The 27,262-nt window shown below is 39.2% G+C and overlaps 1 protein-coding gene across 38 annotated transcripts in view, besides 5 other annotated features; it reads right to left on the bottom strand.

Moving 5' to 3' along the window:
- Positions 1 to 27,262, bottom strand: part of ARID1B (AT-rich interaction domain 1B) — a 434,754-nt gene that overhangs the window by 142,244 nt on the left and 265,248 nt on the right. Inside the window, exon 6 of one of the 38 annotated variants that reach the window (NM_001438490.1) lies at positions 16,624 to 18,662. The exons of the other annotated variants lie outside the window; for them this stretch is intronic. Within the exon in view, the coding sequence (NP_001425419.1) occupies positions 18,657 to 18,662 (6 nt within the window). The 3' untranslated portion in view covers positions 16,624 to 18,656. Of the gene's footprint in view, positions 1 to 16,623; positions 18,663 to 27,262 lie in introns of those variants that run through there. 38 annotated transcript variants of the gene reach the window in all.
- Positions 11,819 to 11,868: an enhancer, noted in NCBI's record as "active region_25326". NCBI's record gives its function as "activates an Ori minimal core promoter by ATAC-STARR-seq in GM12878 lymphoblastoid cells {active_cell/tissue: GM12878}" and the evidence as "EXISTENCE:reporter gene assay evidence [ECO:0000049][PMID:35858748]".
- Positions 11,935 to 12,135: a silencer, noted in NCBI's record as "peak6252 fragment used in MPRA reporter construct". NCBI's record gives its function as "represses an SCP1 promoter by STARR-seq MPRAs in K562 erythroleukemia cells {active_cell/tissue: K562}" and the evidence as "EXISTENCE:reporter gene assay evidence [ECO:0000049][PMID:32103011]".
- Positions 12,795 to 12,995: a silencer, noted in NCBI's record as "peak6251 fragment used in MPRA reporter construct". NCBI's record gives its function as "represses an SCP1 promoter by STARR-seq MPRAs in K562 erythroleukemia cells {active_cell/tissue: K562}" and the evidence as "EXISTENCE:reporter gene assay evidence [ECO:0000049][PMID:32103011]".
- Positions 19,067 to 19,567: an enhancer, noted in NCBI's record as "H3K4me1 hESC enhancer chr6:157370103-157370603 (GRCh37/hg19 assembly coordinates)". NCBI's record gives its function as "activates a minimal SCP1, AML or CMV promoter by ChIP-STARR-seq in naive H9 embryonic stem cells {active_cell/tissue: H9 hESC(naive)}" and the evidence as "EXISTENCE:reporter gene assay evidence [ECO:0000049][PMID:30033119]".
- Positions 19,568 to 20,069: an enhancer, noted in NCBI's record as "H3K4me1 hESC enhancer chr6:157369601-157370102 (GRCh37/hg19 assembly coordinates)". NCBI's record gives its function as "activates a minimal SCP1, AML or CMV promoter by ChIP-STARR-seq in naive H9 embryonic stem cells {active_cell/tissue: H9 hESC(naive)}" and the evidence as "EXISTENCE:reporter gene assay evidence [ECO:0000049][PMID:30033119]".

The following is a 27,262-nucleotide window of genomic DNA, read 5'->3' as shown; positions in this document are numbered from 1 at the left end:
TTGTTTTCTAATTTCTACCCTTCGGTGGGTCTCACAGAATGTTTTCTCCAGTTCTCCAATTGCTTGGACTTGCAAACATAATAATATTTAGTGTATCTTCTTGTGGGTGATCCCCAACAGCCTGTATTGTGCACAGGTCCATAAAACAAGAGACCATCATCAGATTCAGCTGAAGACAGCTACCTCTCACCAACACAGGCAGAAGAGAATGTCTTCATAATGTGCCTACCTGACCTGTGCAGGAGGCCCACCTCTAATACAACACAAAAATTCATAATTAAGTTCAGAGGGAATTTAAAGAGCAATAAGTAAAATGTATTTTATCATGAGTGCTAATAATTTTGCTCGAATTGATAAGGCAACGGATTTTTGTTCTGTCTGCTGATTTCCCATGGAATTCACACGAGTGAAAGATAAGAGAACCAAATTGTGAAGACAGAATGTTTTGTGAAATCACAGTCCATGAAGTAAACCATCTGTGATCTAGCACAGTTCTCAACTTACAATGGATCCCTGGTGCCATATGAAGTGATAAATAGTTTATTTTATAAAGTTAGGAGTTCTGAAGTACCTACGATTGTTTTAGGTCTTAAACATATGGGGTATGGCACAAGCTGAATTTAAATTCCTGAGAATTGTTGACTGTGGAATTAACTCCACCTATGGAGAAGCTGACCATGTACACTCTGCAATTACATATGGCAGGATACAGGAAGAAAAGGCGGAAAAAAGGGACAAGACGAAAATGGGGAAAGAGAGCAGAAGACAGAAAAACACAGGCACTGCACAGTACGCAGAACGAGTGCATATTATAATACTTTCTGTGTGAATAAACAAATAGGTCAATGACCACACATGCGGAAAAATGCAAGGAAAGCAGACAAAGTGTCGGGCAGATCCAGCAAATAATAAATATTATTGAAAATCTTAACCTATCACTGCTAAGCTAAATGATATAGGAAACTCTCTATACATGCACATTTGAGCAGGAGGAACCTTCGCGAGAAGCAAAAAAAAAGTGGCCCTATGGGCAAGATGCAGCCCCGTAAAACCACGGTTCCTCTGTGGAAGGAAACTGTACCCCATTCTCAGGAATGAGGGGAGCAGGGAGACTCTGTCTTAGCACCAGGCCAGTTTCAAACCCCATTTGTTCTCAGGAAATTAACCCTGGATGCACTGTCACAGTGACCCTGCCTGGCACCAGTAGATGGCCTGTACTTCCCAGAAAAACGAGCAAAGCTTCGTGGTTAGGAGCATGGGCTTTGTGACTCGAACTTGGTTCACTCCTTACTTCTACTGGTTACTAGCCATTCAGCCTTAAACACTTGACTTAGCTCTGAGACCTCAATTTCTTCATTGACAAACTAGTACAAATACTGCTAAAATCTTTGTTTATAATGAGACAGAAGAAAGTCTTGGAATCTGCTTGGCAAACAGTGAGAATAAATGATAGCACTTCTTGTTTTTTTTATCCTGACAGCCCACTCAGTAAGTAGAGACAACTGCATTTCATACACAGGAAACAGATTCAGAGGGTGAGGTGGTTGGGCCATGATTTCAATCCAGCTCTCTGTCTTCAAAGCCCATTTTCAGTGTTCTAAAGTCCACTCCTCTAATACATGTTTTTCTCCTTTCTACTCCCACACCAAAGGAAAAAAAAACAAGCCAGAGAAAGAAATTTTAAAAAACTGTACTCTATCAGTGTTTTCCAGGAGGTTCACGGTTTTTCTGAAATTAAAATCATTTAATAATTCAAGTGCATCTCCTTCCTCTCCTAGCAAAACAAGTATTATTTTTGCTTTGATGGAAAATGAAATCTCTCCCACTGCAATAATTACCTCCCAGATCTTCCACTGGAACAGAAAATGGCAAAACACCACTCCCAGTATCCTAACGAAGGGACTAAATGATTCTATTCTTTGGAACAAAAGACCACCATGAACTCAGACATAAGCTATCCGTTAAAGGCTATAATATCATCATACAAGCAAGACAGTGTTTTGGCCCAAAAATGTCATTAAAATTAAAACTTTCTTCATTGAGATATTTATATATTTAATGGAAGATACTTTAAAACTAATTGTGCATTATATTTTATATTTAATTGTCAGGAGACCATTTAAAATTCTGAGATTATATACAGTCCTCAGAAAACAGTTATTACAGAAGGAAGAATAGTAAAACCAAAATGGAAAAGAATTGAACTACACCTTTTCTTCCTTTCTGTAATTTTTAAAGGGTAACTCTTGAGTAACTGATTTTGAAAGCAAAGAATATTCTCTTCCATGACATCCATCTTGTCTAAAATTTCTTTTAGTTACTATATGAAACAGTAAAAACTGATATTGACAGAAACTCCTTGAATAAGTTTTGTGTTTTCTTCACACAAACCCTCTCACATTTTCATGTGAAGAAATAAGATTGTTTTCTGTGGGGAGACTAAACAAATGGCTTACCATTAGTGACCATCGGGGACTGGAAATTTAACTGACTTTTATTCAGACAGTGTGGTAGGGGTTGGGGATGGATGGATAATGATTCAAAAGAGGCATAAGAGGGCTTTTGGGGTCCTGGTGGTGTTTCTGAACCAAGTACTGATTACACAAGTGTGTTCATTTTGAGAAAATGTATCAAGTTGTACATTTAAATTTGTGCATGTCCCTGTATTTATGTTACACCTCCACAATACTTACATTAAAAAATGGACTTCTACACAATGACAGCATAGTCATTTGTCATGGCATTAGAGAATATAAACCAGCCATCATCCAAATCCTTACGGTCTTATTTCTCCTGATAGGTCAGCACTAATGTACGCTAAATTCTTCTTTGGTATTCTCCCTGAAAATATGACCTGCTCTCAGAAAAGCAAGAAGTCCAACTGAAACGGAAGTTTCTATGGGTAGGTAATGGTTTGACCCCTGATCCCACTACCACAATTGTTCCAATTCTCTAATGATTTCCCTGCAGGGTTCATTTACCAGTTCTGGGTCAAAGACCAACATGCCCATGAAGTCAAGGGTCAACCCAAGCAGTGCTTGATGTATTTGAAAGTAACTGTACCATAAAGGCACCTTTCATCAATTAGAGACGGTTTTTTAATTTAAAATAAAAGTATAAACCACAATATCATCATCATTTATATTAACGAATTCACAGGCATACACATATGGAATGATATATCCCGATTATGGTACAGAACCAGTTAATACCCAGAGCCAAAGTAGTTTCAGCTTAAAAAAAGAGAGGCAATTTTACCTTACTATCTTCAGTAGTATCACATTTGAAAGCATTTTTCATTTGTCTCTCAGATTTTCCTTCAAGTTTTCATTACTTTGAACTTCTTTTAACTTATATTCTTCATGACTTTGACTAGCACAGTTATGTATGGGTTAGATAGGGACGTGGAGAGGTGAATTTCCCCAAATATGATAAAATGCTGCTTTAATACTCTTTTAACTTAAACACTACTTCCTTACTTTCATATCTATAAAAATAACTATTTGCAAATAATAATTTTTGTTAAACAAACTACTCCAGTAGAGAATGGGTTGAGCCATTTGGACTTGAAAATGGAGTGTCTTTTAGAATTATAGTCAGTTCCTAATAAAACAACAAAAGACAGTAACTTCCTCTACTGCTTATTTGTCCTGAAGAGGAAGGAAAGGGAGTAGTAATCAAAAAAAGAGGGAGAGAAAGTGAGAGCCGGGGCTGAAGGGCAGGGGGCAGGCCAAGGTTGTGGCTGGGGTGCACGCAGTATCAGGCAGAGGCCGGAGCCTGGGGTTAGAAGCTGGATCCACCAGGGCCGAAGCTCTAAAGTGTAATCCACTCAGCTGGTCAGGAGAGGATGTGGGGACAGTGGGGCATGACACTCGTCAGGTGCAGCAGCTAAAGGTGCATTTGGAAGTGTTCTCGGCGAATCCAGAAAGCCAGGGTTGTGCGTTCTCCACTTGACAGACTTTGGATTGGGTTATAAGTGCTCATGAATAAGAAGCATTAGAAGAGTAAAAATTAAACAAATCAAGTCTTCACTGTTCACTGGGAACAACAATACACTCAAACCATCGAAGAAACACTAAGAAGAATGTTTCCGTATCATCATAAAAACTGAGCATAGCCTCTGAGTGTTTTATTTTGCTCTTTAATATTACGAACACACATAGCTAAACATGCGTTCTGGAGAAAGGAGCTTTAGAGTCTCATGAAAAACAAGTATTCCTGTTCAGCAGATACATGCAAAGTTACCTTAAAGAGCAAGGCCAACTCCTAAATAGGCAGTACCTATCGTCAGACCAGATATACTCAGATGGCTCAGGAAAAACTGTATCAGTCAAACGAGGGGCTGATCAGCCAGGGAAAAATCTCAGAGGTGCTGCAAGACAAAGATGACAACAGGGTAGGGAATCCAGGCCAATGAATATCAGAGATGACTGCACAACCAGAATGGGATTCCTACTGTGGAGATGCAGGTTTCCGGCTAGCCTAGTCGGATGCCACAAACCTTCCAATTATTTAACCACCCCATGTTCTGATGCCCCCCTCACAGACTGGCCTCTCCCTACAGAGGTCAGCCTGCAGGTAGAGCACTGCGGTGCCAACCAGTGTGGTCCATGAGTCTTCATCTGAGATGGGTCATCTAGCTCTCAGTATTCTCCTGGTAACATTGGTTTCTGAGCCTTGTAAAACAGAGAACCAGATCTTGGTCTTAAAGACATTTGCTAAAGGAATGTCACCCTGTGATAAGTCATGAAAAACTAAAACCCTCCCAGATAACACACTAGCCATTTGCATATTGTACAAGGACTAGATTGTCAGGTTTACCCACTGGCAGTCATTCCATACATAACAATAAAATTGAGAAGTCTGACTCATTAGAAGTACATTTCGTATGAGTTTTATATTTTACACACATTTTATGTTGGTAACTCACATGTGCCTGAGAAGTTAACATACTATTCTTCCACACTCAATTCTTATGGTATAATAGAATTAAACTCACATTCTATAGGCAAGTCAAGTAATAGCACAACTATCTAAAAAAAAATCTAACAGAGGAGGAAAGGGCCCCTAATGATAAGCATCTTGGTGTGGAAAAGGCACTGGCTTTTTATTAGCCGCATGCCTCACAGTATCAGCTACCTAACCTGTGAGGCTGTTTCCTCCTTTGTCAAAGGGGCATGAGAGCACCTGCCTCTTAAGGTGGTGTGTTAAAAGAAATGCAAAGCACCTGGTATTTGCTTGCTGCTCAGTAAATGTTAGCCCCCCAGCTGCCACCCCTTCTTCCCTTACTCAACATTTCACACTGGCATGAAAAAATGGCTGGTGGCTCATTCACCTGTCCTGGAAACTGTCCTCTCTCCCTTGGAACTTGATAGTAATCTAAGATTCAAAAATGTTTAAAAGAAAAAAAAAAAGGGAAAAGCCACCACATTAAAGATTCTCTACATTCTTCAAATCCAAGATGAGGATGGTCAGTAGGACCCATCCATTCTCATTCTGAAATGTAACTTATTTCTTTAAAATATATTTTAGGCTGGGCACGGTGGCTCACGGCTGTAATCCCAGCACTTTGGGAGGCTGAGGCGGGTGGATCACCTGAGGTCAGGAGTCCGAGACCAGCCTAGCTAACATGGTGAAATCCCATTTCTACTAAAAATACAAAAAATTAGGCAGGTGTGCTGGTGCGCACCTATAATCCCAGCTGCTCGGGAGGCTGAGGCAGGAGAATAGCTTGAACCCAGGAGGCAGGGGTTGCAGTGAGCTGAGATCGCGTCATTGCATTCCAGCTTGGGCAACAAAAACAAAACTCCATCTCAAAAAAAAAAAAAATATATATATATATATTTTAAAACATACCAGATTAACAGACACTTTGTATGAAACAACAAACATCACAGGAGGAAGGCAAGTAGCGAGTGCTCATCGGACCACCGTCATCAGTTTCTTATGGTACCCTGTCCTCATACCTTCTATGAATATACAAGGGAAAATTTAAAAATCAAACTCGTGTCTACAGCAATTAACAAAAGGAGAAACAAGCCATGTTCGGTGGCTCACACTTGTAATCCCAACACTTTTGGGAGGCCAAGGTGAGAGGATTGCTTGAAGCTAGGAATTCAAGACCAGCCTGGGCAATGCAGTGAGACCCCGTCTCTACAAAAAATGAAAAAAATTAGCTGGGCATGGTGGTGTGTGCCTGTGGTCCCAAGTACTTGGGAGGCTGAGGCTGGAAGACTGCTTGAGCCCAGCAGTTGGAGGCTGCAGTGAGCTATGGCGCCACTGTACTCCAGCCTGGGTGACAGAGGGAGGCTCTGTCTCTAAAAAAAAAAAACAACAAAACAAAAGGAGAAACAGAAACAGGGGAACATACAATAGCAAGAGAAAGCAAAAGAATCTAATGTTGTAGCTATGTACTTGGGAAAGTAGATTCGGCTTATCATGACTGCTTTGTCAAACATTTTATTATCTCCAAAAAGTGACAGCAGTGACAGCACGCATGGGCTGTCTTTAGCTCCTTTCATTTTTGCTGTCTCGCTTTTCCCACTGCAAACTCAGTGGTTATTAGCTGCTGGAAAAATTTACCATGGTGACTCTTCCATAAAAATACTTTCCTCCTACCACACGATGCACGTTTGGAAAAAACATGGCACAGACATTTCAGTTTAATTGTTCTTAATTGGGTTGTCTGAAAAACAAAAACAGGCTTTTTTATGCTGTGAAAAAATACACAAAGGGTGGAATCAGCTATCTTTTTTATTTCTGGTATATTATTTAAGGAATGGCACAGAGTAGGCACTTTGGATGGATTAGAGTTATCAGATAAAATATGGGAACTCAGTTAAATTTCAGAGAAATAACAAGTTTTAAGTGTATGTGCCATGTAATATTTGGACTTATACTAAAATTTTATTCATTGCTTATGTGAAATTCAACTATAACTGGGCAATCTTTTTTTTTTTTTCTAAATCTGACAACCCTGAGATGGTAAAGGCAATAATAACCAGGAGTTAAAATACCCACGCCCACTGCCCGAACTCCTCCCCACAACTGCGAGATGTCAAGCAGGTGACCTCACCTCTTGGTTCTTCTGTTCCATTCTCTATGAAATGGGACATCACCTGCCATACCTTGCAGGGTTGACATGTGGAGCACTTCCATGTGCTCCGTACCATTCTAAGTGCTGCAGATAAGTAATGTAACTCTATCTTCACCGCTTTGAGATATTTACTATTATTGCTCCCATTTAAAATTTTACTATTATAATTGCCATTATGCAAACAGCTAACAAATGTAAATTCAAATGCAGCCAGGCTCTCAATTTAATGCAGTAAAAATAAATATATGATAAAATGTATAAGAAAGACACAAATAGGATATATTACAATTAAAGAATTAGAAGGAATTAAACTTTGACAGGAAAAAAAGATTGTCTTGGTTGATCAGTTGAGGGGACAGCCTGAGTCACGAGTCCACAGGAGGTGAGACAGACCACACAAGACCCTCTGCCCATCCAGAGGTGCCACAGCAGGTTGTGGGGTGGGGAGTGGGCAGAGCACTCCACTCTGTAACATTTTTTTAAAGGCTGAAAATAAAAAACACCAGCAGCTCCAGGGGGAAGAAGCTGTAAAAGATCATTTGTGAGTTAACTAACCACAGATGGGGCAAAATTAACCTTGGTGTGGACAAGGAATTTGTTGAGATGGAAAGGAAGGACAGCTCAGAGAAGCTGAGAAGGAAAAAATAGCAGGGGGTTAAGGACTGAATCAAAAATGTGTAAAGTAAACCATCAGCAGATATTTATTACCATCTCAGGATTGTGAATCTGTGCCAAGACAGCATGGTCGGGCTCTTGAATGTGATGAGACAATGAAAGAATAGTAAAAAAAAAAAAAAAAAAAAAAAAAAGTTCAGATTTTGCTTCACATATATTAAAATGCTTTCAAAATAAGTTTAAATCTATATGTTAACCAGATTGAAACTTTGTGGTTGTGTGTGAAATTGTTGTTATTGAAAAGTATTATTTAAGAAAAACTACTAGTGAAACAAGTGATATTGGAAAATTATTTATTCTTCTATGGCACTAGACCTTGGGATTTTACATTTATTAATCAAAGTATGTAATGTTCGTGTTTGCATACAAACAGAGACTACTTTGCAAATAATTATTAATAATTATTTTTGTTCCAGATAATTAATCTTAAAAAGTTGCGCACATGTCTACTATACCCTATTACAATGTAAAAATTGAACACTCTCTGCTTTACCATCGTATTGGTTTCTGAATTCAGAGCTGAGAGGCGCTATGCTATATAATTTACCTTAAGAACTGTTTTTATCGACTGATGGATTGTTTTCCCAGATGTGGACTTATCAGCGGTCTCTTTAGTACTGGTATCTAGACAGGGAGTTGGCAGTAAAGTTCCTGTTTCACTAATTACATTCTTTTCCAAAAGTTCACCCTGCCTCGGTGTCCAGGTAATTGCAATTAAGTCAGGAATCTGGTAATTAGAAATTCAAGTGCCCTGCCAGGAACAATACACTTCCTCTTGACACGCTGCCCACAAGAACTAATTCACTTGGAAAGGACAGAAGCTGATGTGAAGTGGCAGCGTAGATGCTGATTAAGCAACAAGCAGTGAAATAAATTTTTCCCCTCCTTGTTCTAAAACAAAATGCATTCTATCTCATTTAAACTCCTAGAAAGCATTTTGTAAATTCTGAAATGCACAGACAAAAGCATAATCACTCATATTCAGGAAAGCTTGCTCTCTCTCCCTCACAAAATGTTTCCCAGGCCAGGCAGGAGCTTTAGAGCCCACCAGGTCTCCCAGGCAGTAGAAGGGGCGTGCTAAGGAAATTTAGGGTCACTTGTATCTTGCTAATCATTGTTTAACCCCAGAGCTTTCCACAGGGCCTGGCCCACTGAAAACAATTAATAAATGTTGAGTAAACTAGTCTCAGAACCTCTTTGTCAATACTCTAATCTCAGAAACCTTTTGGTAAAATATAAGAATAAACATTTATTTGACTTACCAATAGATTAATTTCCATTACATGAATCAGACTCTTTTAACCTCATATTCTGCAGTATACTATCAAATATTTACAAACAATTCACTATGTAATGAAGATTTCAGGTAAGAAAGGAAAACACGATAAGTAACTTTATCTCTCTAAAAAGCAAGGGCTTAGCTGATTCTGTAAACCATTTTCTAGCGAATGGAGTAATTTCACCAGCTTCTTTTATTCCTGACATCACACAACTCTATTATATAACAAACTGTTACACATGATAATGTAAAACTTTCATTTATACATCAATTTACTATTTTCCAAGCACTTTCACATTTTCTCATTTGATTCTAAAGATACACAACTAATCAATATATCGTCTCTTAAATCTTTTCTCATGCCAACAGATACCACACACTGTCGATAAATGAATATATTTTTATCAAAAAAAAAAAACAAAAACACAATTTCCAAGCTGAAGTACCTTTGGCTATAACTCATCTCATTGAAACATCTAGGCAAGGTGTTTTGGGGCCTCCAAATCTTTCCTACCAAAATCCGCAGCCCCAGCTAGATCTGCCTATTCATTCCTGCCTGTCTGTGAGGCTACCCTCCTCTGCAAAGAGCTAAGTCAAATCTCCTTCAATGCCTGATCACCCCAGACCACGTGGTATTTTCCCTCTTCTATGTCTTATTAACCACATATCGCTGGTCAGGTGCTACCCAGCCCCATCTCTCCAACTGCATTGCAAATGATGAGGGCCAGAACCACGTCTGCCACCGCTAGTGTCCTCAGCACCCAGCACGGGTGAGTGAGGCAGGAAGACGCTGTGAGCCTCAAGCTGCCTCCCGCGGATCACATGGCTTGCTTCTGTGAACATCAGGCCATATTAAAGAGGGTGACTGACATCACAGTTGCAGGAAATAAATAATTTGGCACAAAGATTAAGATAAAGTAGGGCTGGGCGCGGTGGCTCACGCCTGTAATCCCAGCACTTTGGGATGCCGAGGCGTGTGGATCACCTCAGGTCAGGAGTTCAAGACCAGTCTGGCCAATATGGTGAAACCCTGTCTCTATTAAAAATACAAAAATTAGCCCAGCATGGTGGTGTGTACCTGTGGTCCCGGCCACTCAGGAGGCTGAGGCAGGAGAATCGCTTGAACCCGGGAGGTGGAGGCTGCAGTGAGCCAAGATCCTACCACTGCACTCCAGCTTGGGCAACAGAGTGAGACTTCGTCTCAAAAAAAAAAAAAAAAGACCAAGATAAAGTAGTTTGAGAAACAGTTGCTGATAATAATTTAGAGAAAAGCCTGATGGCGTTCAGCTGGTCATCTGGGCATATCTGAACTTCGTGGCCCTACTGGAGGTGAAGTGAGGGTGGTAGCAGACAAGCCACCACAGGATCAGACAGGACAATGACTTCGGTGTGCATGGAAGTTGGGTGTCTGTCTTGCCTTACTATGCCACTGCTTTCCTTAAGTACTACAGTTCATCTTGTAGTCACATGAGTTCCCAAAAACGGGTGCATCCATAAAATACTCATCAAAACTCAAAAAATTCTGCAAAAGAAAGAAAATTAACTAGTAATTTTCATGTCAACATTAGTAATTCCTCTGGAATATCAGAAAACCACTCAATGTACTCATAGAGTATGCTGTTGGTATCATCAACCCTATCTGAAATTAATCCTCCTAAACTTTTGTTTGATTCTAGAATCAAGCACAGGAAATATTTATGGCTATTTTAAAATTTTGACACATTTTCAAAAATAATGAGACTTGCTTTATATACGTTTTTAAATTTTCGGCTCTATGGAATTCCCCCACCTAAAGGACTGAAATCAAGTGCATACAAATCCTATTTAAAATATATTATTTTTCTCTAAAGTAATTCTGAAAGGAATCAGTGTTAGCAAAGATAAATTCAAAATAACGTGCCAAGCATGGTGGCTCACACTTGCAATCCCAGCTACTTGGGAGGCTGAGGTGGGAGGATCGTTTGGGCCTAGGAGTTCAAAGCCAGGCTGCACAACATAGTGAAACCTCATCTTACATAACTATCTATCTCATCTATACAGTTATAGATGTGTGTATATACATATATACCTGCAAACATAATTGAAAAGATTGATTTTTTTAAAAGATAAAGGATAGTTTGGATTTTTAAAATATGTTGTATTATATTTGATTCACAGAATTGAGAGAAAAATATATAATTATTTAAAAGTTAGGACACGTGGTGGCTCACGCCTGTAATCCCAACACTTTGGGAGGCTGAGGCTGGTGGATCATGACGTCAGGAGATTGAGACCATCCTGGCTAACACAGTGAAAACCCATCTCTAATAAAAATAGAAAAAATGAGCCAGGCATGGTGGCACGCACCTGTAGTCCCAGCTACTCGGGAGGCTGAGACAGGAGAATGGCGTGAACCCAGGAGGCGGAGCTTTCAGTGAGCCACGCCACTGCACTCCAGCCTGAGCAACAGAGTGAGACTCCGTCTTAAAAAAAAAAAAAATTCAAACAACTGGGGTAATAAAATAACCTGCACAACTCCCATGACGCATGCTTACCTACACAACAAACCTGCACATGTACCCCTGAACTTAAACTTATTTAAAAAAAAGAAGAAAAGTTTTAACAAAAAAAGAAGAAAAGTTTTAACAAAAAAAGTTAAAAAAAGCTTTTTAAGAAAAGTTTTTAACAAAAAAAAAAATTAAACAAAATTCAATTGCCTAAGTTTCTCCTTATATGCTCCAAAAATGATTAGTCAAAACTAAACATCAAAATGTTTAAAATATTGTTTAGACAAAAATTTTTTCTGAGCATTTCAAGTCTATCAAACTAACCAGACACAGCAGGGCCTTCTTTTTCTATTATTTGCATGCCTATGAAGATTCATGAGATCATAACCAAACATAACTACTGGAAGGAGAAACTGAGATCATAAAAACCTTCAACAGCAGCACTGAAAACAGAAACGCAGCACATCCTCCACCCACCCCAGAAGTGCATCAACTGCACAGTAAGAGCCTGTAGTAAGAAATTACTTATCTCACTCTATGGCAAAGGTTCAGAAGCTAACAATAAAACTGCTGCTATGATGGATAGCTCTGTTAAAGATGCTTATCATTTCTTTTCAATGTTGTCAGTCAAATATGTTCCATAATATCCCACTCTCATTTTTCCAAAGCTGCATTTTAGAAAAATTCAAGTTAAGGACATTTTGAGTACATGTAAAAAAAAGACCTTTGTATCTCTAAAATCTGAGGGCAAATGTGAAATCAGTAGCTGTGGGAGGCAGATTTTTAAGATGGTTCCTAAAACTCCCAGCCCCTGGTATACAGACCCTACATAATGCCTGACCCTAAGTATGAGGTGGGGGCGGTGTGGAGATGACAGGTAACACTTCTGCAATTATGTCACTTTATAGGGTAGAAGGGATTTTGCAGATGTAATTAAGGTCCCTAATCAGTTGACTTTGGTGTTAATAAAAGGAGATATTCCTGGGTGGGTCTGACCTAAAGAGGTGATCCCTTAAAAGAGGTGGGAGAGATTGAATGCAAATCTCCTGCCTGCTGCCATGTTGTGGAGACAGGCACGGAACTGCAGGTCACCTCCAGAAACTGAGAAGGGTGCTGGGTTAGCATGCGGCATGATGGTGGGAACCTTAGAACTCCAGCCACAGGGAAGTAAATTCTGCCAACGGGTGAGCTTGGAAGAGAACCCTAAACCTCAGATGAGACCACAGCCCTGACAATACCTTATCTCAACTTCACGAGATCCTGAGTAGAGGACCCAGTTATTGGACTCTTGGCTACAGAAATTGTGAGATACTCAGGAAGAATAGTTTTAAACTGCTGAATTTGGGGGTAATGTGTTACTCAGCAACAGAAAATTAATACATTTGAAACCTCACTTACCTTTCAAATCTCACCAGAGGAGATCTGTAAGAATTTTCAAATTTTCCTTTTTGTTAAAGTTAGCTTTCTATTGTTATCAAGAATATTATAATCAAATTTAAGGACTAGAGAGCAGTTACTACAGTGAGCAGTAAAGGTTTGAAATTTAAGGTGATATTTGGGTGTTTTCTTTTTAAAGCAAAAATTTTGAGCAGCTACTTCTAAAGAGTACTTTGTACAAGTTCTACGGGTGAATTTAAACGACAAAGACAGAAACAAAAAAAGATTATGTTACTGGAAAGGAAAATCAAAGGCATAAAAATAAGATGGGTAAACTAATGATTATTGTCTAGTTAACCAATTAATGATCTGTATCTTTTCTATAGCAGCATATTATTGGAGATCTGGCTTGAAGTAGAAGGAAAGATAATCACTCATCATTTCCAAAGGGAAACCAATGCAAATGGTCCCCTTATCCACACAGCAGGCACTAAGCTCCACCTGAGGTATCTGCTGGCTTCAGTGGTGAGGTGGCTCCTCTCTGGAAAGCCCCCCTACTTCCCGGCTGATGCCAGCTGAGGAGGATGCTTCCCAGTGGTGAGTTCTGTTCCCTCCTCTGCAGGTTTATGCTACAAGTTACTCCAGTTCTAAACTGAATGGAAAATGGAACCAGGTGATGTATCCATGTGAAAAGAGACCCACCACTGGGGATGAGTGAGCTAGTGAAACGCTGCTGCAGAATGAGGTACGGCTGAGACAGCGGTGAACCATGGACAGGAGGGAGGTACACGTGAATAGACATTTATGTGTTTTATGCTAAAATAAAATGTATAATGATTGCATCATTTTCAAAGATTTCTGCTTTAACCAATCTGACAATCACCCCTGTAACAGTGACATCTAGTAAGTAGGCCTAGGCTGTGGTTCTTTTGCCTTTCACAGCTCAATGTGAACAACTATTTCCACAAACCTTGCTCTTTAGGTAAGAACCACTTCCTCAGACATAGAACAAAAAGCCCCAGATAGGAAGTGAGGAGATGTGAGGTCTAGGTGGTTACTAGTCCTTCCATGAGCCTCACTTCCTACTTTTATAACACAGGGGCAATAGATTACATAATTTCTCATGTCCCTTGTAGCTCTGAATCCTATCACCAGATTTACATGTTTATTATAAAATAATACAAACACATTATTTCAAAAAACTATAACTCACTACCATTTTAAAAACCAAATATTTAATTGGGCAGTAAGAACATTAAAAGATGCTAAGGAAATTGAAGATAGTTTGATGCTGCCTTGTGTTACAAATCTCAGTTTTAAGACACAGCATTTCCAAGGGGAAAAACCTAATCTAAGGCAAAGAATCACACAGCTCCTGGCCATCCACCTTCTTTTTTTTGAGACAGAGTCTTGCTCTGTGGCCCAGGCTGGAGTGCAATGGCACAATCTTGGCTCACTGCAACCTCCGCCTCCCGGGTTCAAGCGATTCTTCTGCCTCAGCCTTCCGAATAGCTGGGATTACAGGCACGCACCACCAGGCCTGGCTAATTTTGTATTTTTAGTAGAGACGGGGTTTCTCCATGTTGGTCAGGCTGGTCTCGAACTCCCGACCTCAGGTGATCCACCCATCTCAGCCTCCCAAAGTGCTGGGATTACAGGCATGAGCCCCTGTGCCCGGCCTAATGTTTTTATTTTTATTTTTTTGTATTTTAGTAGAGACGGGGTTTCACCATGTTGGCCAGGCTGGTCTTGAACTCCTGACCTCAGGTGATCCACCTGCCTCGGCCTCCCAAAGTGCTGGGATTACAGGCGTGAACCACAGTGCCCAGCTCATCCACTTTCATAGAAGAAAAATTTCATGCTATCATAATAAATCAAACTTATAGAAAGGCTTGATATTATACACGTAAGCAACAAAAAGCCACAGACATGATTCTTTTCCTAATCTCATAAAACAAAGCAAACCCCACTCAAACTAAGGTCCTTAAAGAGGGAATCATTTCTACATTCAAGTGATAATAATTATAGCCAAAATTCAGGAATAAAGTTGCAGGATTGAATAATTGCCTAGTAGGAAGCTGAAATTATAAACTACTTGTATTAAAAAGATGTAGAAAAGTTAATAGTTTTATATACTGCTCTGTTTATACTATTGACAAGAGAAACCAGTCAAGACAGCACATCCCCCAAAGGGCTATTGCTATCTTCAGAATAGCTAGCTTAAATTCTGCATGATAGGCCAGGGGTGGTGGCTCACACCTGTAATCCCAGAACTTTGGGAGGCTGAGGTGGGCAGATTGCCTGAGCTCAGGAGTTCAAGACCACCCTGGCAACACGGTGAAACCATGTCTTTACTAAAAATACAAAAAATTAGCCAGGCATAGCGGTAGGCGCCTGTAATCCCAGCTACTCGGGAGGCTGAGGCACGAGAATTGCTGGAGCCCTGGAGGCAGAGGTTGCAGTGAGCCGAGATCATGCCACTGCACTCCAGCTTGGGCTACAGAGTGAGACTCCGTCCCTAAATCAATCAATCAATCAATCAATAAAATAATTCTTCATGATATTTTGCACTGTTGTAAATCAGGCTGGTAAAAACTGCTCTTAGCGCTGGGTGTGGTGGCTCACGCTTGTAATCTCAGCACTTTGGGAGGCTGAGATGGCCAGATCACGAGGTCAGGAGATCGAGACAATACTGGCCAACATGGTGAAACCCCGTCTCTACTAAAAATACAAAAATTAGTTGGGCATGGTGGCATGTGCCTGTAATCCCAGCTACTCGGGAGGCCGAGGCAGGAGAACTGCTTGAACCAGAGAGTCAGAGGTTGCAGTGAGCCGAGACTCCGCCACTGCACTCCAGCCTGGTGACAAAGCAAGACTCCATCTCAAAAAACAGACAGACAAACGAAAACTGCTCTTAGGTGCTGTTGTTTGGTACAGGTTGCTATGTTTGTCCAATCTTTGTCCATTTCTTAAATTCTTTGAGGCAAAGTGCATCTTTTCCTTTGCAACTTCTGTTTTGCTTTACAAGATATTCTGTATAAGCAGCCATTCAGATTATGCCTGTTTAAGTTACACAGCTACAAGAGTCCACTTTGGAATTCCAAGGACACTGATGAAAATATCCATAGGAAACTTCACTTTGTTTCACAAGGAATGTGCAAATAAAGGTGCCAATTATATTGGGGGAAAGTAATCAGCCCCAACAAAACTTATTTGAGTAGCAGAGAGTGGCATCTGTCTACAGTTGACATCCAGTCCAACAGGCCGACTTGGTTCCACACGGATCTATTACCATTCAATACCCTAGTTGAAAGCTATTCCCTGATCAATTCTTCTATATGAGATAAGTCACACAGGCTGAGAAGCTTGACTGTCTAGAGATAATTCAACAATATACGAGGATCAGTTTCTTCATTTTACTACATATATATATAAATAACCTCTGTTATCCAACCTTTATTTTCATTGCTTCACCTACAAGACAAAATAGCACAATTGGAGACATTTTCCTACGTCATTACTTGGTAAAATACGACGTACCTGGAAGCCCACAATATATAGAAGGCCTCAGCCTTCAGTTTTTAACAGTCTTTTTCTGCAAACTGCTGTTCTGGTGGCATTTTCAAAATAATTACCTATTAATTAAATTGACAAAACTAAAATAAAGCAAAATACATCTAATCATATAAATAACCATACAGATAACAAGAGAATTTTAAATACTTTTATGAAATATGGTTACAAAGTAATATATCATGTGACAAAAGAAACAACATGAAAAGAAATATACCACTCTCCATAATTATTTTTGCATAAAAATATCAATACCTAAGAGTGTGGTGCACGAGGACTGTACCAACTGCCTCAGATCCTGTTACTCAAGAATCATCTGTACACTCTCTAATTATATTTTTACATTCTCCTGGTATTATAAATATTCATTTTTTTTCTTTCCTCTGCCTGCATTTATTGAAAGATACACAGGCACAAGAAGTCTAGCATTCAAACATTCAAAAGATACAAACTATAAAATTCAGAATTGTTGCATATTACATTTCAGTATAACCTAAAGTACAGAGTGAATTTAAGAGGTTACAGATTACAAATAGTCATCTAAAATAAAAACGATTCCTTTAACATTTTTTTTTTGCTTAATAAGAGAATCCATTGTAAATTCTTATTCCAATTATTATTTACTGAATTCCAAACTGCATTTTCCGTTAGCATTTAAATGGATAAAGGGAGCTGCCTGGAAGATCTAGTTTCGTTGTGCTCATTTCTATCTGCTGTTTTAGTTTAAGGCACATTTTCCTTTATTTCACTTTTCCACAAGCCATAAAAAAACTCATTTCTAATTCATCCGTTCGTTCAGCTTAACCTCTCTTCTCAGCAATTAAAGCACTCTGCGCATCCCTCATCTATCACACAGCCAGCTAAATAATGCATTGCGTCCCCCGCTCATCTTTTATCATCCCAAATGACAGGTATTAGCATATCTCCCCAGTCAATTACAGTGCAGCAGAATAATCACAGCATAATTGGGCGAAAGCCACTCTAATCACCAGCCCTGCAAATGCGCAGAATAAAAACTGAGTGGCAGTTCAGACAGGCCTTGCTCTTGTCCATGACTCTAGCCAACAAGCCTGGCAGATCTCCATTTCCTGCCTTTTAGAACTTATCCTTTAGGGAGGTCAACTTCTCTAGGCCTCCTATGTAAAAGGAAAGAATGCATACATGTGTGAATGGGAAATATTTAATGTGTAACACACATATATGTGCATCTATTAATATTGTGCCTGCGATGTTTGCACATACTATTACATAGCACATCATAAACCTTTCCACTGTTGATCAGGAAACAAAAAAGTCATTTTATGAGTATGATGTCATTAGAAGTACTATTACAGGGCTCATATGAAGGTAAAACAAAAAAATTAACTTTTTTAATGAAGGTTATTTACTACCAAAATTGAAGCCCTCTAAGTGTCTACATGATAAAGAAATACCTTCTGCATCATAAAACTCAGGATTTCTTCTTCCCAAATTATTCATTTATCACAAGTAACTTTTTTATTTTTGAGATAAGATTCTCGCTCTGTCGCCCAGGCTGGAGTGCAGTGGTGTGATCTCCGCTCACTGCAACCCCCGCCTCCTGGGTTCAAGCAATTCTCCTGCCTCAGCCTCCTGAGTAGCTGCGATTACAGTCACGCACCACCACGCCTGGCTAATTTTTGTATTTTTAGTAGAGACGGGGTTTCACCATGTTGATTAGGCTGGTCTCAAACTCCTGACCTCATGACCCACCCGCCTCGGCCTCCCAAAGTGCTGGGATTCTAGGAGTGAGCCACCATGCCCAGCCACAAGTAACATTTTTTAAATTGAGTTATCTGTTGTTCTTCCTTGTTGGGGGACTGGGTACAGGGGGTTTCATTGATGATATACAAAGTGGAGCTCCTTTGGCCCCTCCCATTCTTCTGGGCATCTGAGATGGAAACTGTGGGGATGGAAGACCCTCAGTGAGGTGGGGGCTGAGTCAGGGAGAGACACCCCACAACTGAGAGTGTCTCTCTTCCTTTTGCTGGTGCTGATGTTCCAGGGGTCCCTTACTCCTTGGAGGCCACAGGCGTTGTTATTCTTGGACTGTAGCAGCATTCAATGCATGTTTTAAAATCATGATGATATGAAGTGCAGGTTAACACATTAAGATGACTGAAGAAAAGACACTTATCCTTTTATGAGGAGATTAAAACTTAAATGAGACAAAAATAGGAATACAATGTGAGAAGCTTTAATATGTAATGTGAAGATTTAAAAAGAAAATTCTAGAAATGTTTCGAAAATTTGTTTGAAATTAATTTTAGAATACTTCTTAAAATTTTATTGATTTTACCGTGATATTTAATGGATAAGATAAGCCTATATCCAATTCTCATTATAAATAATATGTATTCATTTGCTGCTCTGTTCTTCACCTCCCCTCTTCCTCAATGAGATACAAAAAAATTTATTCTGAAAGGAAAACTTAATTTGTGGAAGAGTGAAGGGAGGTTAAGAGACATTTCTTATAAAAATGTACATGGCTTCTTAAGAAACAGCCAATTAAATGCTTTAAACTGCCATGTGTAGCTAGGGGAAAAAAAAGAAATCTCCTGTAGGACTTAACTTCCTCTACGCCGATTTCAAGGGCCAGTCCTGTCCCTCCCCGTACTTCTCTCCAGTTCCTCACACTGACCCCTCCTTTTCACATGGCCATCTAAGGCCACACCTACTGCAAGGAGAAAACTGCCCAGCTACCAAAGGAAGGTCACACTTGAGGAGCACTCTGGCCAGAGAGAGAGAAGGCTTCATCCCACCTTGGCCACGGTCTAGAATCGGCCATGGCAGAGTGGCCTTGCTGGGCACAGTGAGCAGCAAATCAAGGCAGCAAGTCTTTTTTTTTTTTTTTTTCTCCAGACTGAGTCTTGCTCTGTCACCCAGGCTGAAGTGCAGTGGCATGATCTCAGCTCACTGCAACCTCCACCTCCTGGTTCAAGTGATTCTTGTGCCTCAGCCTCCTGAGTAGCTGGGATGACAGCTGCCCACCACCACGCCTGGCTGATTTTTGTATTTTTAGTAGAGATGGGGCTTTACCATGTTGGCTAGGCTGGTCTTGAACTCCTGACCTCAAGTGATCTGCCCGCCTCAGTCTCCCAAAGTGCTGGGATTACAGGCGTGAGCCACTGCGCCTGGCCTTAAGGTAGCAAGTCTTGGTGACTTGGCACACTGGAACACAGAGCCACTGCGGGCTGCATGGATGCTCTGCTGTGGCTATGCACAAACGAATAAATCACACATGGCAAAACTCTCTGCTTAGTGATTCCATCGTAATCAAGACACCAGCCGAATTCAGGGAAGCATGAGATCAGGCGACTATGACAACAAAGCAAACAAGATATGATATTTATTACTCTTATTATTTAGAACTTGTAATATTTTCAACCACAATTCTGTCAGACAATGTATTCCTTCAATACACAGGAACACACTAAGGCAGTAATACATTATCAAAAGCCAACTGTTAAAAGACCAGAGTAAAAGCAGAATTTAGACAAAACAAATAGTCTCCCAGACTTTTTATTCCTTCCAAACTTGTTATTTTAAGTTATAATGTGAAATGTTTTATTTGCATTATCACTTCCAGAGCTCTGCATGCATTTCTGTTGGCATATCTTTGCAAATGGACCCACAGGATGCATTACTTCGGTTGTAAAATGGTACTTTTATTGCTTATTTGGGAATATCTTTTACAAGTATTTATCAGTGATACATCTGTTATGCAAGTATTAATTCAACAGGTTTCTTAATCCAAATCTGATTTTTAAAAATCATCCCTGATATATTCTTTAATTCACATAAATGTTCTACTTGGCTTTAAGCATATTCCAACATATTGGCTCTTTCAACACCAGCCACGTTGACATTCTCAACTGACTTGCAAAAATTGACATGGCTTGGGAAGAAGCCAAATTTAAGGCAGGAGGAGGGAAGGAGGAGGGCTTTCACCATCTGAAGAAACAGAATCTGCTTTAAAACTTGGCAGTGCAGAGAACCTAAAACACACGCAATCAAAATCACCCCCATCTTCCCTAGGATATTTTCTTTGCTTCTTCCCAACAAAATCTCAAGTAGCTTGATGATTACTAATATGATCACAGTAACTGCATGCAAAGGAATTTTACAGGCAAGTCCTGAAACACGCCTCTAATTACATGTGCATGTCCCAAATGAACAGGTGTTTGAGGGTGGGGATAAGAGAATATATGCATTTTTATTATTACTAGAAAATTAAGTCCTCAAAAACTAGTGCCAAAATAATGTCCCCAGAGATACATGGAGTCAATCAAACTCTAAATTATACAAGTAAATAAGCTTGCTTCCAGCATAACTCCTTGCTCTCTTAAAAAGACCACTTTTCAGACACATAGCACGTGAGGCCATGTTTAATTCCTAACGTCTTTTTACAAAAATGAACAGAATCTGACAAAGGCAGGCATGAACTACACTAAATTATGGTCCCTCCACTCACCTTATCTTCACCATCACTAAGGCAGGGCAAACATTTCTGCACAGTGGACTTGGTAGATCTTGGGACAGCCGCGATGCTGTCAATGAATCTATCTAAACACTCTGTCATCTACCATCATCTGACAGAATACTTGGTCTAGAAGAAATGGAGTTCCTATTACACCAAGAACTCCTCTGATTATAATATACTACTTCTGATTTTGCATATAATGCCAAAACATATTCTGGAAACGTCACACCTTCTTTGCTGGGCTTTCTGGCCTACTGGGTACTCTCATGTCAGTTAAGCTCCACAAACATCTCGTGATCACCTAATACCTCACAGAGTGTGCTCATACCCATTCCAATTGGAATAAACTACTTTTAAAGAAAAATACCGTTTTCACTATTGAAAGCTGATCTAAAATGATATTAGAGTCCTAGTACATTGGGTTGAACCATATGAAATTGCCAACATTACACCATTTTTTGAGCTGCGAAATGCCAATTCTGTAAAATGTAACCTAATATAGAGTTCCTAAACTTGAGAGGACTGATTTAAAAAAACAACAACACAGGCATTGCTGGAATTTTTTCATAAAGTACACAGGCCTGGGAAGCAGCAACTTCTAGCTGAGCTTTACCACTAGACAGTGCCTAAAATAAGTCACTTTCCCTCCCTCAGCCTTTTTCATTGTGAAAAAAAGAAATTGAAAAAATCTTAGGTTACATTTTCTCTTTGAGAAAAATGCTGAAAAGTAACTGGCCATAGCAGCTCTAAAGGAAATTAGGAAAGAAGACTAAAGGTGGCAGAAAATAAAATTTCTATATTTTACCTTTCTTTTAAAAATTTTTGCCTGGCTTCACTTAATGAAAGGATTTGTTTGTGGACAACAATACAACAACAAAATTCTATTTTTCCCAAGACAACAAGAATATCTTAGTCTAGGAAACATCAGCAAGAAGAAATGGAAGACTAACAAATGGTAAAACACTTGTACTTCCAATGAATACAGGAGGCCTGTTAGCATTAAGGACCTGAAGAATTTTAGAGCTGGAAATAAATTTAATGATGTCTAGAAATCAATTCTCCAACCTCACAATGGGACTTACAGTAGAATATGGGTCTGTTCAACTCCCAGTCAAGTAGTCTTAATTATAAAATGGCAGGAAAAAAATCCTATTCCATATTTAATCCAAAGCCAGACATCAGGTGAGACCCCTAACAGCTCTCAAGTAACTCCTCATCAGCCACTCCAGGCCTTTCATTAACAGGGCTCTAACCTGCCTCTTCACTGCATATGTTTTGGCCTCACAGTCTTGTCTTTTCTGAGTTTTAGACTTGTGTATTCCTCTAAAGACAAAATTGGAAAAAAAGCTAAAATATCCCTTCAAAAGATAATTAAACCTAACAAAGAAAACTGTATCAAAATATTACAGGTAAATATACATAAAGTATTTCCCCCAAATCATTTCTAAATAAAAATAAAGCAAATTTGTTTTAAACTCAAACATGTAACTGTCTGAACTACCAGCAGATGGCAGAGGCAGAGGCTGGGAAATTTTCTAACAAAAGAAGAGAAGAGCTCAATATGGATTCCTGGATTCCCACATCCGGGAGAACTTGAGATCCTTGAGGTCCTAGAGAAACACTGCAGATTCCTCTCCCCACACCCCCTTGAATCTTTCTTTTAGCGGAAACAGTAAATTTTTTGCTTTAACAATATATATTCTATAATTTTAAGTTTGAGTCAATATTGAAACAGTATGGAATAAACTTGGTCCTCTACTGCTCTAAAGGTTTTGAACAGATTTTAATTAAATAAAAAAGATTAAAATGTAAAAACAAATCTTTCATATTATGAAAAGTAATATGAGTTCATAAGATTATGAGTTCAAAAAAACTGTTTGCTAGTTTTGTTTCAATGACATTGGTTATCTTAAATATACTTTCACCTAACTTATAGTCACACTCACTCAGAGAGTTAGCCAAGTAAATTCACTAGAAAACACATCCCGCTAAGGGTGGAGCTTGCAGTGAGCCAAGATGGTGCCACTGCACTCCAGCCTGGGTGACAGAGAGAGACTCTGTCTCACAGAAGAAAAAAAAGGTCCCGCTAAGAAGACGCAAAGAGTAGAGAAGAACCAGAGTTAATGCAGCTTGACAAAAAATATATATGGTAAATGTTTTTAAACAGAAAATTAGTATATGTTTTCATGTGGTTACACTCATAAAAGAAATAACTATTTTATTGGGTAGAATCTTACAATGCAAAACTAAACACTCTAAATCCAAAATACTATATTGGTAGCCTGGGGCATATCTTAGGCAAATCAATGAATTAATGACCCATCACAAATGTCACTCTAGAAGGATGTCAAATTTCATGACCCTGTTTAAAACTTTTCTATTCTCAAAATCTAATGAAACTTGTCAACTTTATAGTAGTTTATCTTTCTTTCCTAAGCAGAACATCCCCTCTGCTTTATAGCACTCTACCTGAACAGCAAATTCCTTCTGTTTTCTACTATCTTTTCAAATCCCTAGTGTTTAAATCAATTTTTAAAATGGCTGTTCTAATTGTTATTAGAACATTTATATATTATATAAATGGCTGTTATGCTAAAAACTGTCTGTGTCATCTACATACTTGGAACCTGTATTTTCTAGACCAGCTCAGGCAACAGAACTCATTGTTAAGATGGACGCCTCTCTCTATGCACTGTGGCAGTGTGGCAGCCACCAGCAACATGTAATTGTTGAGATGTGGCCAGTGTAACTGAAGAAATGATATTTGAATTTGATTTAGCTTTAAATACTTTAAATAGCCACACATGGCTGGTGGCTGCCACACTGGATAGCACAGCTCTACAGAACCAAAATGAGCAATGAGAAATGATTAAAACTGGAAAAATGTAACAAAAGATACAGAGTCAGAAATGACTAAAAACAAATGGACTTTTAACACAATTCAAACTGGAGCCCTCTAAGTTAGATGGATCAGAAAAGGAAGCTACAAGTGAACCTCCCGCTTTTTCCCAAAGGTCATTATTTGGTTCTTGAGCCAGGAGGCCCATTCAGACATGGGTTGCCATTGTATTTTTTTCTGTTTCCTCCTTAGCCAGTATGATAAATCCTATAGTTAACGACTGCATCATTTTGTTTTTATATGAGGGAAGTGAAATACAGATACTTTCATAATGATCAGATGTCAAAAGACAGAAAGCAGCTCAAATTTAAGTCACTGCCAAATATGATCCTCAGGCTACACATTTTCCACAGTTGAAAATACCTTATTTTAAAAAGATAAAATAAAATTTTCCACTTTTATTCTATTTGAAATTATATTTACGGGTGACTAATCCTTTTGTTATTTATAATTTCCTTAGGTCAAACTGGAATCCATTCCATTTTGTAGAATACAATAAATAGATTCAATTAAGACAATTAAACAACAGAAAAGCATACAATTATATCCAAACTTTGCATCTCTTCTTGGATTTTTCTCTGACATAAGATCATTCCAAATGTTGTGTCCAGAATGTAAGATCCGTGGAAGCAAGGACTTATTATTCTTACCACTGCATCCCTGGTACTTGACAAATAACACGTATATCCCATAGATATTTGTTTGAATGGAAAGCAGTGGAAAGAAGTAGAGTGATATGAATGAATACAACTGCAGAACCTGATTAATGAACATATTTAAGATAAGCCAGGTTAAAAGGAACCAACTAGTTTTTGATGCCAGCCATACCCACTCAATAGCTTCAACAAACATTAACAATGAATATATCTTCCTTAAGGTGGGCATTACAGAGCTTAAATAGGAAATGCCAAGCTCACATATTAGCCCAGATAACAGGAGAATCGGCAAGGAAATCCCAGAATACAGAAGAACACAGTAGTGATATGTTAATATCACACATTTTATGCTCTTAGCAGTGACAATTGTTAACACTATCAGTAAAACTCTTAATCATCAGTACTTATGCACTGTTTACCATGTGAAAGTCAATATGGATATAAAAAGATGAAAAAAATGGATTCTCTAAGCTTACCATATTATGGGGGAAAATGCCACGTAATAGAATTGGGCTAGGCCATATCACGCTGTCTCCCAAATACAAAAGAACACCAAAACAAGTTGGCAGATGAGAAATTCCAAATGAGTCCTAAAGGCAGTGAGAACTGTTGAGCTCTGAGGATGGTGCTCAGAAGGCGCCCATGCCGAGACAAATCATAGAAGAGAGAGGTTAGAATGGAGCCTGGAGGGAAAGCAGGATTTTGAAATGCAGCAAGAGGAAGGGTAAGCATTTCAGGGGAAAGGCAAGGTGGAGACTAGGCTGGAGGGAAGCTAAGGGCAGCAAAGGGCATGGGATATTTAAGGGACTCTGTTAGTTGGGGGTTGGAAGACCAGTTTGAACGCTGATGTTATTTTTCTCTAAGATATCTAATCAACCAAAATACAGGTAAAAAGTAATACAAGTGTAGGATTTACTTTAACATCTTATGTTCAGATACTTTAGCTTAGACCTTTCTCTTTTATAGTAATAAATTTTAGGTGCCTAAAACAAATATTAAAAATTATCACCAAAGAGGATTAAAGTTAAGTGTAGCCTTTGTGCGGTGGCTCATGCCTGTAATCCCAGCACTTTGGGAGGCTGAGGCGGGCAGATCACTTGAGGTCAGGAGTTTGAGACCAGCCTGGCCAACATGGTAAAAACCCATCTCTACTAAAAATACAAAAAACTTAGCTGGGCGTTGTGGCACAGGTCTGTATTCCCAGCTACTTGGGAGGCTGAGGCAGGAGAATCACTTGAACCTGGGAAGTGGAGGCTGCAGTGAGTGGAGATCACGCCACTGTACTCCAGCCTGGGTGACACAGTGAGACTCTGTCTCAAAAAAAAAAAAAAAAAGGAGTGGAGGGCTCCTGTGATCTTGTGGGACCCAATGATAGCATAAATTGCATCATTTTTCTTTTTCTCATTCTTTTTTAGAGTAATACAATATGCTTCCCCTTGATTATCCTTGTAATTCATTTTAAACTGACCTCTCCACATGTATTTTTAATAGTTTATATCAAATATTATAAAAAGAGTCATAAAATTCAGAGTTTTCTTCCCAAAGAACATGTCAGCCAAAACACCCTATCAAAATATTTTTGATTTTGTGGAATTCTGATGTCCATTTAGCCCGGAAGACAGGTATAGCAAATGAATACACTGGTAATACATATTTCTGTCCCTCCATCTTTCAAAGGGAAAAGTCTTTAAAAATTATTTTGAGAATCAAATTACGTTATTGTCAAATAGGCAAGCCCTAAGAATTTACCCCAGGAAATACACTGTATTGAACAAGAGATACATGTTTTCATCTTTGTCATGGCTTTATGCATATTCATTCATTCGGCAGGATATTTAAGAATACACCCTGGAGGAGGAGGGGAAGGTGTAACGTGGGGTATTAGCGGCTTATGTAGCAGAGAGGAGAATCGAACACATTACTGCCTGTCTGTGAAGAGGAAGACGAGTCTGAGAAATCGAGGCCAGACCTGTAGGAGGTGAATCAACAAAACGCTGCTGAGGAAGCCACAGGAAGAGAGTGTGCCAAGGAAGAAGTCCATTAGGTCAAATGCGCAAGGAGGCAGGCACAGGGCAAGTAGTGAACTGCTCTGCTAGATCTGGGTGTGTCGTTGGGGACCTTAGTAAGAGGAGTTGAGTGGGGCAGTGGTGATGGTGGCTAAGAAGATGGGGAGTAAAGACTGAGAGGCGGGTACAGGGTACACCCTATCAGTTCCATCAGTGATCAGGACATTCAGAAAACAGAGAAGGTGCTGGGGCTGACACTGCTGGTGCAAATCCCAGTTCTGTTACTGATTGGTTGCGTGAACTTGAGCAAGTTCTAGACTCTGAGTTCCTGTTTCCTTACCTAACACTGGGGATAACAACAGTGTCCACGTCTCATATGAGAGTGGATTAAATAAAAACGTGCTTTTTTCTAATTCTGGACTTAGCCACCTAATCAGAAGATGAAGAACATTCACAGTCATGAAATTTTGAAGTAACTTATTAGATTAGTAAGATTTCTTAAGAAATTTATTAAGAAGTTTATTAAGTTATGTTTACATGTTTTTTAATGACCCAGGGCTAATTACATACCCCTTTCTTGTTTACACCCCTTACTATAATTTTCTATACTACTATATGTAGAATCCATAAACAACAAGTCAATGTTTCAGTCTTTTCCCTATGTTTAGTAATGTAATCACATATGTACACATATAAATGTTTAGCTGATTTATC

The sequence above is a fragment of the Homo sapiens genome, chromosome 6 (genome assembly GCF_000001405.40).
Source record: "Homo sapiens chromosome 6, GRCh38.p14 Primary Assembly".
In the NCBI taxonomy this organism is placed as follows: domain Eukaryota; kingdom Metazoa; phylum Chordata; class Mammalia; order Primates; family Hominidae; genus Homo; species Homo sapiens.
The sequence above is the reverse complement of the archived record's forward strand: the minus strand, read 5'-3'. Positions and strand labels throughout refer to the sequence as shown.